This window comes from Homo sapiens, chromosome X (genome assembly GCF_000001405.40).
Source record: "Homo sapiens chromosome X, GRCh38.p14 Primary Assembly".
In the NCBI taxonomy this organism is placed as follows: domain Eukaryota; kingdom Metazoa; phylum Chordata; class Mammalia; order Primates; family Hominidae; genus Homo; species Homo sapiens.
The window spans coordinates 115,017,617-115,033,596 of NC_000023.11; the positions used below are offsets into that span (position 1 = coordinate 115,017,617).

The following is a 15,980-nucleotide window of genomic DNA, read 5'->3' on the forward strand; positions in this document are numbered from 1 at the left end:
ACCGTTAGACTCACGAGAGTGTTCTTACTGGTTCACAATGGAGTTATGATATCATCCATCTCCATAGCAACCGTCTCCCCTAGCAACACATAAAACACAGTCAAATACTCTTTTCTGAGGGGAAAAAAAGAAAAAAGAAAAAGAAAAAAGTATTTGAAAGTTATTTCGGCCGGGCATGGTGGCTCATGCCTGTAATCCCAGCACTTTCGGAGGCTGAGGCGGGTGGATCACCTGAAGTCAGGAGTTTGAGACAGCCTGGCCAACATGGTGAAATCCTTTCTCTACTAAAAATGCACAATTAGCCAGGCATGGTGGCGGGCGCCTGTAATCCCAGCTATTCGGAAGGCCGAGGCAGGAGAATGGCTTGAACCCGGGAGGCGGAGATTGCAGTGAGCCAAGATCCCACCATTGCACTCCAGCCTGGGCAATAGAGCGAGACTGTCTCTAAATAAATAAATAAAATAAAATAAAATAAAATAGAAAGTTATTTGACCACTGAGAAAGCTCAGAACCTAAACCGAAGCCTCAGAGAGTTCAAAACTTTGCTCTGTTTCCTCATAAATATTTCTTTTTTTAGTTTAAAAAAAGTGTTTATTTAGCTCTTTCGCCCCCTGCTGGACGATTGACTTTCTTCTTTGCTCCTTTTTTCTTTTAATTACTTCTTTTAATTAAAATTTTTTATTTCCATCTACTCTCATTATTGTTCCACTTTTTCCTGTGTTTCCTTTATTAGTAAATGGCATCGCCATCCTTCCAGTTGCCCAAACCAGAAACCTGGGAGTCTTCCTCAACTCCTCTCCCATCTAATCTCTCCATTACCACTACCACTTCCTAAATGGAGGATCTTAGCAGGGATCTCCTTATTCAGTCTTTCCTGCCTCTGATCCATTTTCCACACCATATACAGCAAGAGTGACCTTTCTAAAGGGCAAATCTGAACTTTTCATCTCTTTCTTAAACTAAAACAGCATTTCATTGCCATAGAATACAATTTAGTCATCTTTCTGTTCTTGGATATTGGTTCTTGACGGATATGATCAAAATTTAAAGGATTCATGCCTTCAAATAGCTACTCAATTAAAAATACTTTGCTTTTCAGGAAAAACTACTACTCCCAATTCCATACACTTCTCTTCGAATCTATATTCTGGAACCAACAATTTCACATAAAGTAAAGGATTAAAAGTCACTCAAAAGAAAAGAAGGGACTGCCCTTCTTTTCTTGTGCATAGATTAATTCAATAGGACAGACCCTCTCTTCCACCCCACCCTCTTCCCCCTACCTGATCCATCTGTAATATTGTAACTTTGGTAAGCCTCAATGGCTACTTTATAGAATCTTAGGATCAAATTTTTAGAACCAGTATGTATATTACAGACAAGGCTAGTCAAATTCTCTTTTATAAATTGGGCAGTAAAACTCAGACTTGCCCCACCCAAGATTACACAGCAAATTAGTAACAAAGCTGGAAGTAGAACAGAGATCTCATGATGCCCAGTCCTGTGCACTTCCACCCCATTCTGCTGGGTCCCACAGGCATGACTCAGGATTATGAACGCTTTTCCTCTGGAACCCCAGTGTTTAAATCTTCCTTTAATTAGCAAACCAAGCTGAATCAACACCATGTTATTTTAAAAATTCTGCGCCTCATAAAATCAGGAGAGAATGTCATTTCTCTCACTGAGGCCCAACAAATCTCTCTTTCTCCCCAATTCCTCTCTCTTTACTTGCCAGCCAATGGCTGCCCACTAATGCATCTGTAAGTACTAGGTAGATTTGGCTAACAGAAGGTTATGGATCTTCCACAGAGCTACCCTCAGAGATTAAGATGAACACACTGGTTACTACTGGGATCAGGGCAATAGGTCTGACAAAGAGAAAACCTTCCATATTACCTTTAAGGACTAAGGGCAATCAGGCTGCCCTTACAATGCTCTCAGAGAGATTCTAACAAAATTCTCTCTCCCCTATCGATCTGTCCTTTAAGATTTCGTAGCATTATGTCATGTACAGCATAAATGCTAAGTAAAGAGTTTAAAATCATTTGCTTCTATTCCATTTATAGGCTATGAAATCTGACTCAGGCTATCAAATAGCATTTCATGGATCAGACTGATCAATATACCCAAGCAAAGGTGGAAAATGGGATAACTAGCTTCTAGCATCACTTATGGATAAACCCACAAAAGGAGTTGCTGAATTACACCTAGGGCCCAACCAAGACTTTCTTACCCAAATGAACACAAAGACAATTCTCTCCTTTGCTTCTGGGTTACAGGATTGTCACTAGTGCAATGAGGGGCTTTATACACTATGTGGTTACCAGGAACACCGGAGTTTTTCACAAGGACCAGGGGGACCTGAAGACAAAGGGAAGATTAGAAAAGCAAATGCAGACATATTAGATTTGAAAAAGTTGTTTTTCTATATTTCAGACCCCCAGACCACAGTTCATAACCACTCATCTGGTCTTAGCTCCTCATTTTTAAAAATAAGGAAATAACAGCCAGAGAGGAAGGTAAGTAAGCCAAGTGTACACAACTTATTGGTGGCAGAGCTGGGATTGAAAACCATATCTCCTGAACCCTTTCCACTAACTAGCAAATAAATGTTCTTATCATAATGAATCTATCCTGCACCTATTTTACTAGAAGCCTCTTCCTAACTCCCAACCTTCCTCTACCTACTGTCACCACCCAAACCATCCAGCCCACCACACAGTTTTATCATTATGACATTTCTGACAGAGTAATAATTCAATAAATATTTATTGAGCATCTTTGGAAGTTTTTTGCCAGATACTATCCCAGCTAAATCTTGCAGAAGACACAAAGTGAAAGTGGCAACAGTCATAGTATCTGTCATAGTAATAGTACCTTCTAGTATTTATTCAACATCTCAGGCACTGCCCTGTGCTATGCAATTTATATGCATTATCTCATATAATCCTCACAATCAGACTTGGACATATATACTATTTTTAGTTCTATGTTATTTGTTTAAATTTTCTTTTTAACTTTAATTTTTAATTGATACATAATGATTGTACATATTTGTGGGGTACAGTGTAATGTTTTGATACATGGATAACGTTGTGTAATGATCAAATCACGGTAATTAGCATATACATCACCTCAAACATTTATCAGTTCTTTGTGGTAAAAACATTCAAATTCCTTTCTTCTAGCTTTTGAAAAATACAATTCATTATTGTTAGCTATACTCACCTTACTGTGCAATAGAAATCAGAATGTATTCCTCTTATCTAACTGTAACATTGTACCCATTCACCAACCTTTCCCCATCCCGGCTCCCTTATTCCCTCCCCAGCCTCTGGTAACTTCTATTCTACTCTCTACTCTATGAGATTAACTTTTTAAAGACCAGAAACTATGACATACAGAAGTCAAATGGCTTCCCTCAAGTCACACACCATAAATGGTGAAACTTGGATTTAAATCTAGACAATCTAGTACCAGAGCCCTTGATGGTAATCACTACACTAGGTATTTTCCATGCCTAAGATCAATGTGGAGGGGAGCTTTCTATTTCTACCCACTCAGTTTTACACAACACTTTTGAGATAGTTTCTCACTGAGAATCTCCTTTGGAATGGCAAACCTAAAGTGATTGCCTCTTCTCGGCCTCGCTTCTCCACCGCTTCAAAGTCATGCAACATAATACTCTCACTTTAACAGCTGGCTGCAATCTTTGCATTATTGGAGAAATTCCAGGTACTTACCAATCATATGGTTTCTCAAGAAATAGATTAACGTAAGCAGTTATCACAGGTCCTCTTTTGTTCTCCTCTCTACTTTAGAGACATTAATTAGAATCTCTAATACTTTCCTGCCTAATAATCAAGCACGTAGAAAATATTAGTTAGGTATTCCTGAAACAGTCACAGGGCCAGGACACAGATTCTACAAGCCACAAGATGGGGAAGTTATGGGTGAGGCCAAAAGCCATCTAAAGCAAATTTGGAATTATACCAAGGTGCTGTAAAAGCTGGCAGGACCAACTATTCTTTGGATAAAGTAACAGATACATAGCCGAGGAGCTTTTTATAATAAAAGACACAACGGTGTAAGTATCAATCTGGATTTCACTCCTGCCTCAACCACTGTGATAAGAGGTAAATTATATCTCAATTTGTATCTATAAAATGGAGGTAATGATACAAGCCTGGCAGGGGTGTCTTGAAGATTAAATAAGATAATGTATGTGAAAGTGCTAGAAGAATAGTAAATTGCTCTATATACTTGAGAGGGGTTTGCTTCTGAGGACACTGCCACTAAGCAACACTTGAAAATAACTTACCACATCCTACACATTTGCCTTTATTAATTCAGCAAAATAAACTTGTTCATAGTAGATAATTAGACACTTATTATTAATTTCCAATTTCTACCACCCTTGTTGATCCAATATGCTGCCTTTACTGATCTTTGCCATAATAACAGTAATTTCTTTCGTTTGTTTAGCTTTTTGTAGTTTGTAAAGAATTTGTTTATTTTTTAACAGGTCTGTAAGTGTATAAGGTTTGTACTGCATGTTTACAAACAGTAAAACTGGGGCTTAGAGAAGTGATATGACTAGCACAGTGCCCCACAGCTGATACAATCTATACAGAAAGGATAGGAAAAAGAAGGAAGAGACAGAAAAACATTGCTAGGCTAATAATACATAACATGGTCTTTTAGAAATGTTCTTTCTCTATGTTGACAAAGGAAAAAAAGATTCTTCTACAGTATCCAAAATGACCATATGTTTTTTGTTTTATTTTATTGTAAAGGCAGTGACCAATTTGCAAAGACAATTATTTATTAGAAAATGATAAATGGAATTTTTGCAATGTCACTAAAATGATTTCTTTAAAAAAAACACATAAAAACTATAGGCATGTTATTTCTGTTGCCTTTGCATAAAAAAAATCAATTATAAAATTTGATACTTTCTATTCACATTGTTTAAGCTATCTAAAAATACTGGCCAAAGCTTTTAGAATGGGGCTTGAGGAGAAAGAAAATTGAAAAATCGAGAAATAGAAACTGAGGAGAGAAAAATGGAAATGTAGTGTGATTGCAGACTTAAATGTCATTTGCAAATGAAATGATAAATTGATATAGTCTTACATGAGAAGGCATTGACTAGGAGATTTGGGCTCTCTCACCAGCTTTGCCAGGTGACCTCGGAAAACAATGATAATAATAATAATAATAATAATAATAATAATAATAATAGAGGTTATAGTTTATTTTACCTTTACTAGGTGTCAAGCTCCGTGCCAGATGCTTAAATGGATTAGCTCACTTAAGCCTTACAAACTTTGCTGACTACTATTATTATTATTCCAATATTACAAATGAGGCATTTGGGGCTCAGGTTTCTCAAGGTTATACAATTTAAGCAATAAAAGATGCCAATATCTGATTCTAAAGGTCATACTCCTTTTAAAATATAATACTCTCTTTCAAGTAATCTCACTCTGTGAAAGGCAATTTTCTCTCACACAAGTTATCCCTAGGCTATAATTCTCTATTTCAATGGTTAATCTGCCATGTATCCATCCGTGGTTTCAGGATGTGACTCAAGAGCACTGGCTTCCTGGATAGCTAATCTTATTTCAGGAAGGCCATCCAACATGTATAAATGCCTGTTCATAGCTTCTGGAGTATAGTCATGACTCAGCACCATAAACAGAATCTCTGGAACCTGCCAGGTTTTGAGGCCTGATAACACACTGAGATTAATACATGGCTCAATGATAGTACAATCAGCCTATGACCTGGTGGTGAATCAAATCTAATTTCGGTAATAACTAGTAAATAACATGTCCTGCAGTGGAGTAGCTTATAAAGAATGCTGAAGATGACTTTGTACTATGAAACACAAAAGGGCTTTGAATCACACAGATGCATCATGTTTGCCAGTAGTAAAGTTGTGTCAGTCATGTCCTATACATATACACAAGGAACTTAGGAAGATGCTGAATTATGAAAATCATTGTATGGAATTGAAATACATGTAGGACTTATTTTTAACAAATATCACTTTAACATCTAGCTCTATATATCATGATTATATTTGCATCCCTGATAAGATTACATACTAACATTATTTGATATTTATAAAATATGTTCAATAAATCTACAGTTCTTGTAAAACCATGGGTAGTTATTCTAGGCCATAATTATTTTCATATTTATTTTGTAGAGACAGGGGTCTCATTATATTGCCCAGGCTGGTCTCAAACTCCTGGGCTCAAGTCATCTTCCTGTCTCGGCCTACCAAAGTGCTGGGATTACAGGCCTGAGCCATAGCGCCAGGCCCCATAATGTTTTTTTAGATGCTTTTCCTGTATGACATCTTGAGTTCATGTGGCTAACAAGTTTCCTGCAACACTGTCAAAGCTAGACAATTCAGTTTGGAGCTACCATAGCAACATCTAGGTTTACAGTGTTAATTCATGAAGCAGTTTACAAATTTCAGAATTTGTCCCCGAACTGAGATCACAGGTTTATTAGTTTATAATTCTATCCAACAAACCACCAACATGCTTTTTGAAAACAACCCACTAAAATTTTTTTTTGCAACCCTTTAAATAAAATCCCCCAGGTCATCAATTAGTAAATATTTCTTGAACAGGTCAAATAGTTCTTACTAAATATACCTTACATTCTACTCCAATGAAGTCATAACTGAAGAGTAATGCACTGCCTTGAAAGGCACTACTGCTCTGGAACTAGCGAAACAATCTCTTTTGTTCAACACTGTTCTCTGTACTCCCAGATGCTCCCAAATACTTGTTTGCAAACAGGCAGGGAATACCCAAAACATTCATGTCATGTGACCCCTTTAAAAGTAAATAATAGGATATACTCTACCCACTCAATACTCAGTAAAAATAGAATACAAAATGTACAATAGCAATTTTTATATTCCTTCCAGGTAATCTACCAGTATGTTATTTATAGACTGTAAACACATGGAAATGTGGTATTATATTATATACAGGACTATTAGTTATAGAAAAGAATGTTATAAACAATTAAATATTAATATTTACATTACATATTAACTATTCAATTATTTCAGGAAGTCTACTACATGCTAGGCACTGTTATAGGTACTGGGGATACAGCAGTGAACAAGACAAAGTAGCTACCCTCATTTCTGGTGTGGGAGACAGACAATAAACATCAGATAACCACAAGATGTATAAAGAAAAATAAAGCAGGATAACATGAAAGAATAATGGGAGGTTCATTTTAGGTAAGGGTAGTCAGGGAATGCCTCTCTGAGAAAGTAGCATCAAGGACTTCAGTGATGTAGGGAATAAACCAGGTAAAGATACAGGGAAAGAATGTTTCAGGTAGAAGGAATAGCACATTCACTGAAATAGTAGTTTCAGGAATAGGAAGACCAGCAGGATAGGGAACAGAAAAAGTTAGATGATCTCACAAATATAGGAGAGGGTAGGCCATGGTGATGAATTTGCTATTTATTTTTAGTAAAATGGGAAGCAACGGGACAGTTGTGAGCAGTGACTTTGATATGGACAGGAGACAGGGAAATACTGGGTAGAAGAGGGCATTTCCCAGACAAAGGCCCCACCCTCAAGCCTGGAAACCCATGGCCCTAAATGGGAATAGGCATTCCTGTTTTCACGTCCAAAATGTTGCCTTTTTGCCCACCATGCCCCCTTATCCTGTACACGTATAAACCCCAAACCCTAGCCTCCATGAGGGGACAAACAGAAGCTTGGAAGAATGGCAGAAAGGCACAGCAGAGAGAAGAGAAGGAGCGTCTGAATGCCGAGAGGAGTTCGGCTGGAGACAATCAAAGAGGAGTTCAGCTGCTGAATGGCCAAATGCCAGGGGAAGATGATCCTCTCACTCCACCCCCCTTCCAATTCCACATCCATCCCACAGAGAGACACCTCCACCACTCAATAAGACCCCCGCATTCATCCTTCAAGTTCGTGTGTGACCTGATTTTTCCTGGATGCTAGACAAGAGCTCAAGATACAGAAAGCTGTCACACTGGCCCTCTGCCCTTGCAAAAAGGCAAGTCCACTGAACTGTTCAACACTTAAGCCATCCACAGATGACAAGGCTAAAAGAGTGCACTGTAACACATGCCCACTTGGGCTTCAAGAGTCACAGACACCCACCCCAAGATACTGCCATGGGTCCAGAGCCCAAAGCACTCATCCTGGCTCTTGCACCTGCCCCTCTGCATGCTCCCCCTCCCACATCCCCCTGTTGCCAGAGAGCCATATCCTCCTGTCGCAGGTTCTGCGAAGGGGCCAGGGAACTCTCCCACCTCAACATGATGTAGATTACATTTTAAAGGGCTATTGTATGCAATGGAAAGGTAGAAGCAATGACCCGGCCTAGAGATGATGGTGACTTGGACCAAGTTGATAGCCGTGCTGATAGAATTTACTGGTGGATTGAGTGTGGAGTATCAGAAGATGATGGCTTTATTTTGGCATGGCCATCTGGATAATTGTTTATGGGGCCTAGGGATGATGGTCAAGAGTTCAATTTTGGATGGTTAAGTTTGAGCTGACTAACTAATATCCAAGGGGAGATGAGTAGGCAGTTGGATATTCAACTCTGGAGATAGGGGGAAAGACCAGAGCTGTAAATATAAATTTGGGAATCATCAGGATATAGACAGCATTTAGAGCCATGTGATTGATTGACGTCACCTAAGGTAGAGTGTACATGAGACAAAGAAAAGAGGGCCAGTGACTGAGACCTTCGATATATAAAAGGCTAAATAGATTTTGAGGGGCTACCAACAAAGGAGACAAAAGAGAGGCCACAGAAGTGAAAGGAAAATCAAGTGGGGAAAATGTTTCAAGGATAAAGTGATAGACAATGTCAAAAGCTGCTGATAGGTGGAGTAAAATGAGGCCTGAGAATGGGCTAATGGTTTAAGCAAGGTGGAAATCACTGGTAATATTGCTAAGGGAATTCAGTCAGTGGCATGTTGGGGGAAAAACCCAGATTAAAATGAGTTCAAGAAAGAATGGAAGGGTAAATTTGGACACAGTGAGTGTGGATAACTATTAGGGATAGGAAAAAAACAATGTTTGTTCTATTCTCATGCAGGCAATACAACAAATTCTTCATCTCTGGTCACCAAAACGTATGGAGATTTCTCCTTCACCAACAACCAATCACTTCTCCACTAATTCAAGACAATTCTAAGGCTATCTACGAGGAGATAGTGTCAGATCCCTCAAGTTAAGAGTTTAGTCCCTCAAGACTGCCCCCATTTCAGATGCCAATAGCAAGCCCTGGGTTTTGACTTGTGTTTCTGACTTCTGGGTATGATTAATTTGCTAGGATAGCTCACAACTCAGGGAAACACTTTACTTACTTTTACCCATTTATTGTAAATGGTATTACAAAGGATACAAATGAACAGCCAGATGGAAGAGATGCATTAGCAAAACATGAGAGAGAGGGCACAGAGCTTCCATGCCTTCTCCAGGTATCTCCACATGTTTAGCTCTCCAGAAGCTCCCCAAACCCAGTCCTTCTGGGTTTTTATGGAGACTTCATTATTTAGGTATAATTGATTACATCATTGGTCATCGGTGATCAACTCAACATTCAGCCCCTCTCCCTTCCCTGGATGAGGGTGGTGAGGAGATTGAAGGTGAGGAGATCATGTGGTTGGTTCCCCTGGCAACCAGCCCCCATCCTGAAACTAACCAGGAGCCCCCAGCCAACAGTAATCTCACTAACATACAAAAAGACATTTACCACTTAAAAGATTCCAGGAGTTTTAGGAGCTATGTGCCTGGAAACTAGCCAAAAACCAAATCTACATATATCTTATAAATCACAAAAACACAGTCCACCTCCCCTTTTACAAACACAGATTCTTTACATCAAAATGATCATATAAATCAAAAGATACTGGCACACTCAGTCCCATTCAGTCATTAATACAGTCATGCACTGCATAATGATGTTTTGGTCAACAAGGAACAACATATACAACAATGGTCCCCTAAGATTATAGGTGAGCTGAAAAATTCTTATCATCTAGTGACATTGCAGCCATCATAATGTCCTAGTGCAATTACTTTATTTTTTATAAATGCAATGTAGCCTAACTGGACAGTGTTTCTAAAGTCCACAGAAGTATACAGTAATGTCCTAGGCCTTCACATTCACTCACCTCTCACTCACTGACTCACCCACAGCAACTTCCAGTCCTGCAACTTCCATTCATGTCAAGTGCCCAATACAGGGATCCATTTTTTTAATCTTTTATACCATAATTTTTACTGTATTTTTTCTATTTTTAGATATAGATACACAAATACTTAGCATTGTGTTATAATTACCTAAAGTATTCAGTACAGTCATATGCTGTACAGGTTTATAGCCTAGGAGCAATAGGCTATACCATATAGTCTAGGTGTGTAGTAGGCTACACCATGTAGGTTTGTGTAAGTACGCTCTAGGGTGTTCGCACAATGATGAAATGGCCTAATGACACATTTGTCAGAAATTATCCCCGTCGTTAAATGACACATGACTCTAATTAGTCCAGTCCATTATCATGTCTATGAAAATGTCTCCCAGGTTGGGGCCACTCAGGTTTGCAGGCTTCCAAACCTCACAATAACTCCTTTGAGAGGTTTGAAATGAAGGAACATAAGGAGCTATAGCTGGGAGGAAATCTCTTTTCTTCCCTCTTTAAAACATGGATGGGGAACATCACACATGAAGGCTTAATCCTGCCCTTCCTTAGATTCTTGTCACACCTATTTAGCAATGATGCTGTTCTTATTTTATGGATACAGGTCAGAGTACTTATCAAAAGGTACCATACTAAGGCAGAGCATTTTTTCTGAGGCATTTAGAAACTACCAAAGTTTAGTTTCACCAATGATTACATTAACAAATACTTTCCATCTGCTAAAATAGTTTTGCGGCCTGGCAAGGTGGCTCATGTCTCTAATCCCAGCACTTTGGGAGGCCAAGGCGGGCGGATCACGACATCAGGAGTTTGAGACCAACCTGGCCAACGTGGTGAAACCCCGTCTCTACTAAAGATACAAAAAAATTATCTGGGCGTGGTGGCATGCGCCTGTAATCCCAAGTGCTCAGGAGGCTGAGGCAGGAGAATCACTTGAACCCGGGAGGCAGAAGTTGCAGTGAGCCAAGATCCCGCCATTGCACTCCAACCTGGGTGACAGGGTGAGACTCCATCTCAAAACATAAAGTTTTGCGAAGCTATCTCCGACTTCTGGCATTTCTAATACAATATTATTTTTTTAAAACCTGCCCTTTCTCCAGACTATAGAACATTTCTACTTTCTGTGTGCAATCTGAGGTTTCATTTGTTTTCTTCTAAATTTGCTTTCTGCAGCAAAACTCATCAGAAACAAAAAAACCTTACTGTTATATATTTTTGTAAGGCAGTTTAAAATTGTGGTTGTTAGTCTTTGGCTTATATGATTCAGACCAAAGATCTGAATCAAAGGAATGGCAGAGGCCGGGCGCGGTGGCTCACGCCTGTAATCCCAGCACTTTGGGAGGCCGAGGCGGGCAGATCACGAGGTCAGGAGATCGAGACCATCCCGGCTAAAACGGTGAAACCCCGTCTCTACTAAAAATACAAAAAATTAGCCGGGCGTAGTGGCGGGCGCCTGTAGTCCCAGCTACTTGGGAGGCTGAGGCAGGAGAATGGCGTGATCCCGGGAGGCGGAGCTTGCAGTGAGCCGAGATCCCGCCACTGCACTCCAGCCTGGGCGACAGAGCGAGACTCCGTCTCAAAAAAAAAAAAAAAAAACAAAGGAATGGCAGAAATTTTGGTTCTAGTCCTAATTTCAAAATGCAGAATAGGAACACATAGACTTTATTGTATTTTGAAAACTTTGAAACTAAGGGATCAAGCAATATAGCTGTGCATATTCCCAAAGAGTTTTAGTAAGTGCATATCTCTAGGCAAAATTCTGTTTATTCTGGCTTAGCTAAGCAGGCTATTTGGAATGCAGAACATGGAGGGCAGCTAGTTCATCATTTCAGGCTCTTGCCATCTGCTTCTTCCTCATGCCCTCCTCTCTCCTGGCCCTCTCCTCTTTTTTTCTTCTTTCTACTTTTCTTTTTTTCTTTTTTCCCTCTTTTCCTCTCTCCTACTGATGTTCCTCTTTTCCATTAGTTGAAATTAATATATTTTTGCATCACTGGCTGTCCTTATTTTTAAAATCCTGGGGCATCCTCTCTTCACAGTACATTTTTCATTAGTTTTTTGGCTTCAGAATAATATTTTCCATTATGTCACTTGTAGATTAAACTTGCAACTTTGTAAGCTTACTTTTTAAAAGTGCTTATGACTTTAAAAAAAAGTCACTGTTCAGTTGCCTGTAGGCAGAGCTTTATTGTTTTGCAGCAGACTGATTGCCCTTCATAGAAATGAATTTCCAGCTTTAAGACGACTGGTTCCTTACACTCGTTGGCTTAAAGACTAAATCCACCTCATAATCCTAAGTGGTAGGTTTACTTACTTCTCCCACTTTCTCATTGTTTTGATAACTGCTTTTGAGCCTAGGCTAGACAATGTTTTTTAAGGTTCCTTAGAGTCTCTATTTTTATAACCTGTGCTTAATTTATACCTTTGCTTGCTATATTGGTGCTGACATGGCCACAGGCATCCATCCAGATCTTTATTTCACAGGCATTTCCTGAGATCCATTTTGTACTCAACGCCGCAGATATGAAAACAAGCAAGACACAGTGTTTCCTGCCCTCAAGTCTATTGACAGGGCAGACCAAAAAAATTAAAAATAGTCATAAAGTGTGGGCTTTCTCTCAGACTACTGGTCGAAATGTGAATTGATGCAATCCTTTTTGGAGGTGATGTGGCTGAGATTACTAGCTGTCTCTTAATATTCACTGTCCCCTCCTTCAGTGGTAATGGAACCCCCAAGTTGTAGCTGGGCACGTGGCCACACAAAACAAATACTATAGTTCTGAGTGTCCTTTCAGCTATATGTGGCAGGTGATTAAGTTCTGGTCTAAGAGAGGTAAATGGAAGTGTTATCTCCAGTCCCTCGAGTCAGGCCTTTAAAGAGAATAGACCTTTTCTCCCCTTACCTGTTTTTCCTTTCCTCCAGCCTGCTTGTTAGAATGTGGTCTTGGCATTGAGCCACCTTTGATCAAACAAATGAGGGAAACACCCTAGGCATGGCAGAACAAGTTGAGAGTAGCCCAAGGCCCTTGTTGGCCTCATGCAATAAAGCTGCGTACTTTATGACCAGACAGTCATGTGAGGGCAACATAAACCACTGTCTTTTTAAAGCAGAACCTGTGATCTAAAACTAATTAGAGGAGTATTGAAAAATGCATATCAAAACACTTTAAAAGCTCATATCCTTTTAGGCCAGCCACAGTGGCTCACACCTGTAATCCCAGCACTTTGGGAGGCCGAGGCGGGCAGATCACTTGAGGTCAGGAGTTTGAGACCAGCCTGGCCAACACGGTGAAACCCTGCCTCTACAAAAATACAAAAATTAGCCAGGAGTGGTGGTGAACGCTTGTAGTCCCAGCTACTTGGGAGGTGAGAGAATTGCTTGAACCCGGGAGGCAGAGGTTGCAGTGAGCTGAGATCACGTCACTACACTCCAGCCTGGGTAATAGAGCCAGATCTTGTCTCAAAAAAAAAAAAAAAAAAGTTCATATCCTTTTAACCCCAAATTTCCAGGTAATCAAAGAAGTATGTGCTTCTACAATCTCTTTTCCACATAACCTTTGAGTCTGAAGCTCCTGCAGCATTCTTATGAAGGGCCACATTTAGCTTATGTAGCATTTCCTTTGGCTAAAGCCTCTGACCAAGTACCTGGGAAATAAACCATACTCAGCCACCCCACTTGCAAATATTACAACCACAAAATGTTGAAGTAGACATTTTTCACAGGGACAAAAATACAATATGACAACACTTCAATGTCCCCCTTTGAGGTTTTCAAAGTCCTGAATGTTGTAAATAAGAGGATATAAGTGGGCCAGACACTGAGGCTCATGCCTGTGATCCCAGAACTTTAGGGGGCCTAGGCGGGCAGATCACTTGAGGTCAGAAGTTCGAGACCAGCCTAGCCAACATGGTGAAACCCTGTCTCTGCAGGCAGGTGCCTGTAATCCCAACTACTCAGGAGGCTGAGGCAGGAGAATTACTTCAATCAGGAGGTGAGGTTGCAGTGAGCCAAGGTTGCACCACTGCACTCCAGCCTGGGAGATAGAGCAAGACTCTGTCTCAAGAACAAAAAAAAAAGGATATAAGTGCTGGAGGACCCTCTATGGCTTTCTAGTGATTCTGCTGCTATGAGCTGCTCACAGGTGCCATAGCACTTCTTCCACCATCATGAGTTGTTGCCACAGTTTTCCGAATGCTGTTCTGGCAGTGCACTCACATGGCTTTAATCTTTTGCTGTCTCCACATTTTCCAATGACTGGCAGCTCACTCCACATGCTTTGGTTATTATCAGAATATCCTGAAATTCAAGTTTTCTCTCAATGAATCATGTTATTTCTATCAACAGTGTACACTGTTCTTCCCGCAAAAGTGCTAGTTAAAGAAGATAGCTGATTCCATAACCTGAGATTAATCACTGCTGGATGAGCAAAGTCAAGCATGCCAGGGAAACAGAACTATATGGAGTAGAATCATTCCAAAGAGCATGGCCTTGTCTTCCATTTTAAAGCATCAATGGAGGGTTAGAATGACTAGCACCTCTTACCCTCTAGCCCCACTTTACTCCTTAGAAAAGGGTGGGGTTCTCACTTTAGCAATACATATACTAAAAATGGGATGATACAGATGAGATTAGCATAGCCCTTGGACAAGGATGACACATAAATTCTTGAAGCATTCCATTAAAAAAAAAGATTTTTTAAAAAGGTTGGGGAACTCTTAGGGAGGTCCTAAGCCCTCCTTATTTTCTTGATACTTACAACCAGAAGACAATGAAGTATACGTACAAATTTTCACATGCAAACACTTTCTTGGCTTCCACTATCTATGACCATGGCTTAAATACAGATGTAGAAATAGAGGCCAGAGAAGTTAAATGATGTTCCATCAATCTTCTTTCATTCTAGTTTGTGTATTTAAGTATTGCCACTGTGATCATTTTTCAGCTTTGCAAAAATTTCAGTTCACAGACTTGTCTGTTTTTACCAAATCCATCAGCCAGATTTTGCTTTTTCCCCTTCTTTATTAAATCGAGATCGGCTTGCATTCCCCAAACTAAACTTGTCCCTCTGCCTTTTTATTATAACTTCCTAACAAAATCCCAATTCTGGATGAATCAAACTCAGATTTTTTCTGTGCTTGTACCTGAGCAGGTGAGTGCCCATGAAAGAAGTCCCACTATAGATTAGTTCCATGATAAGTGCATAACATTTCATTTTAAATAAGCCCACAGTACTACTCAGAAGCCCTATTGCTTGTCTCTGTTCAACTTCATTCCATTACTGACCATTACAAACCTTTTCCATTCTCTTAAATCGTCTCATCCCTTCTCCCCTGATCTCAGCACATGAGCTTGCCTCTTACTTTGAAAAACAAAATCGAAACCATCAGATGGAAATTCCCTCATCTTTCTGATTTGAAACAAGAATCTTTCCACATTCTCTCCTTTCCCTCCTGCTCTTCGTGTCTGTTTTGAATTCTAACACTGCTCACACCTTCAAAAATGTTACACTCATTTTTTTCATCTCTCTTATATATCTTCCACATACATAAGATGTATGTATGGATACACACATCTCAGCTAAATGTATCTCATTCACTTTTAAACCTGTTCATTTCTCCCTGACCATAAATATAGAAACAAATTACCTTGCCTACATATTTGTCTGCAGCTACTGCCCCAATACTCCCATCTTCTTCACAGCCAAATTTCCAGAAACTTCCCCTCTAGCTCTTCATCACTCCATTTTCT

General features: G+C 39.7%; 1 pseudogene; it reads left to right on the plus strand.

Annotated features, from left to right (window-relative positions):
* Positions 14,811-14,917, plus strand: RNU6-648P (RNA, U6 small nuclear 648, pseudogene; annotated as a pseudogene).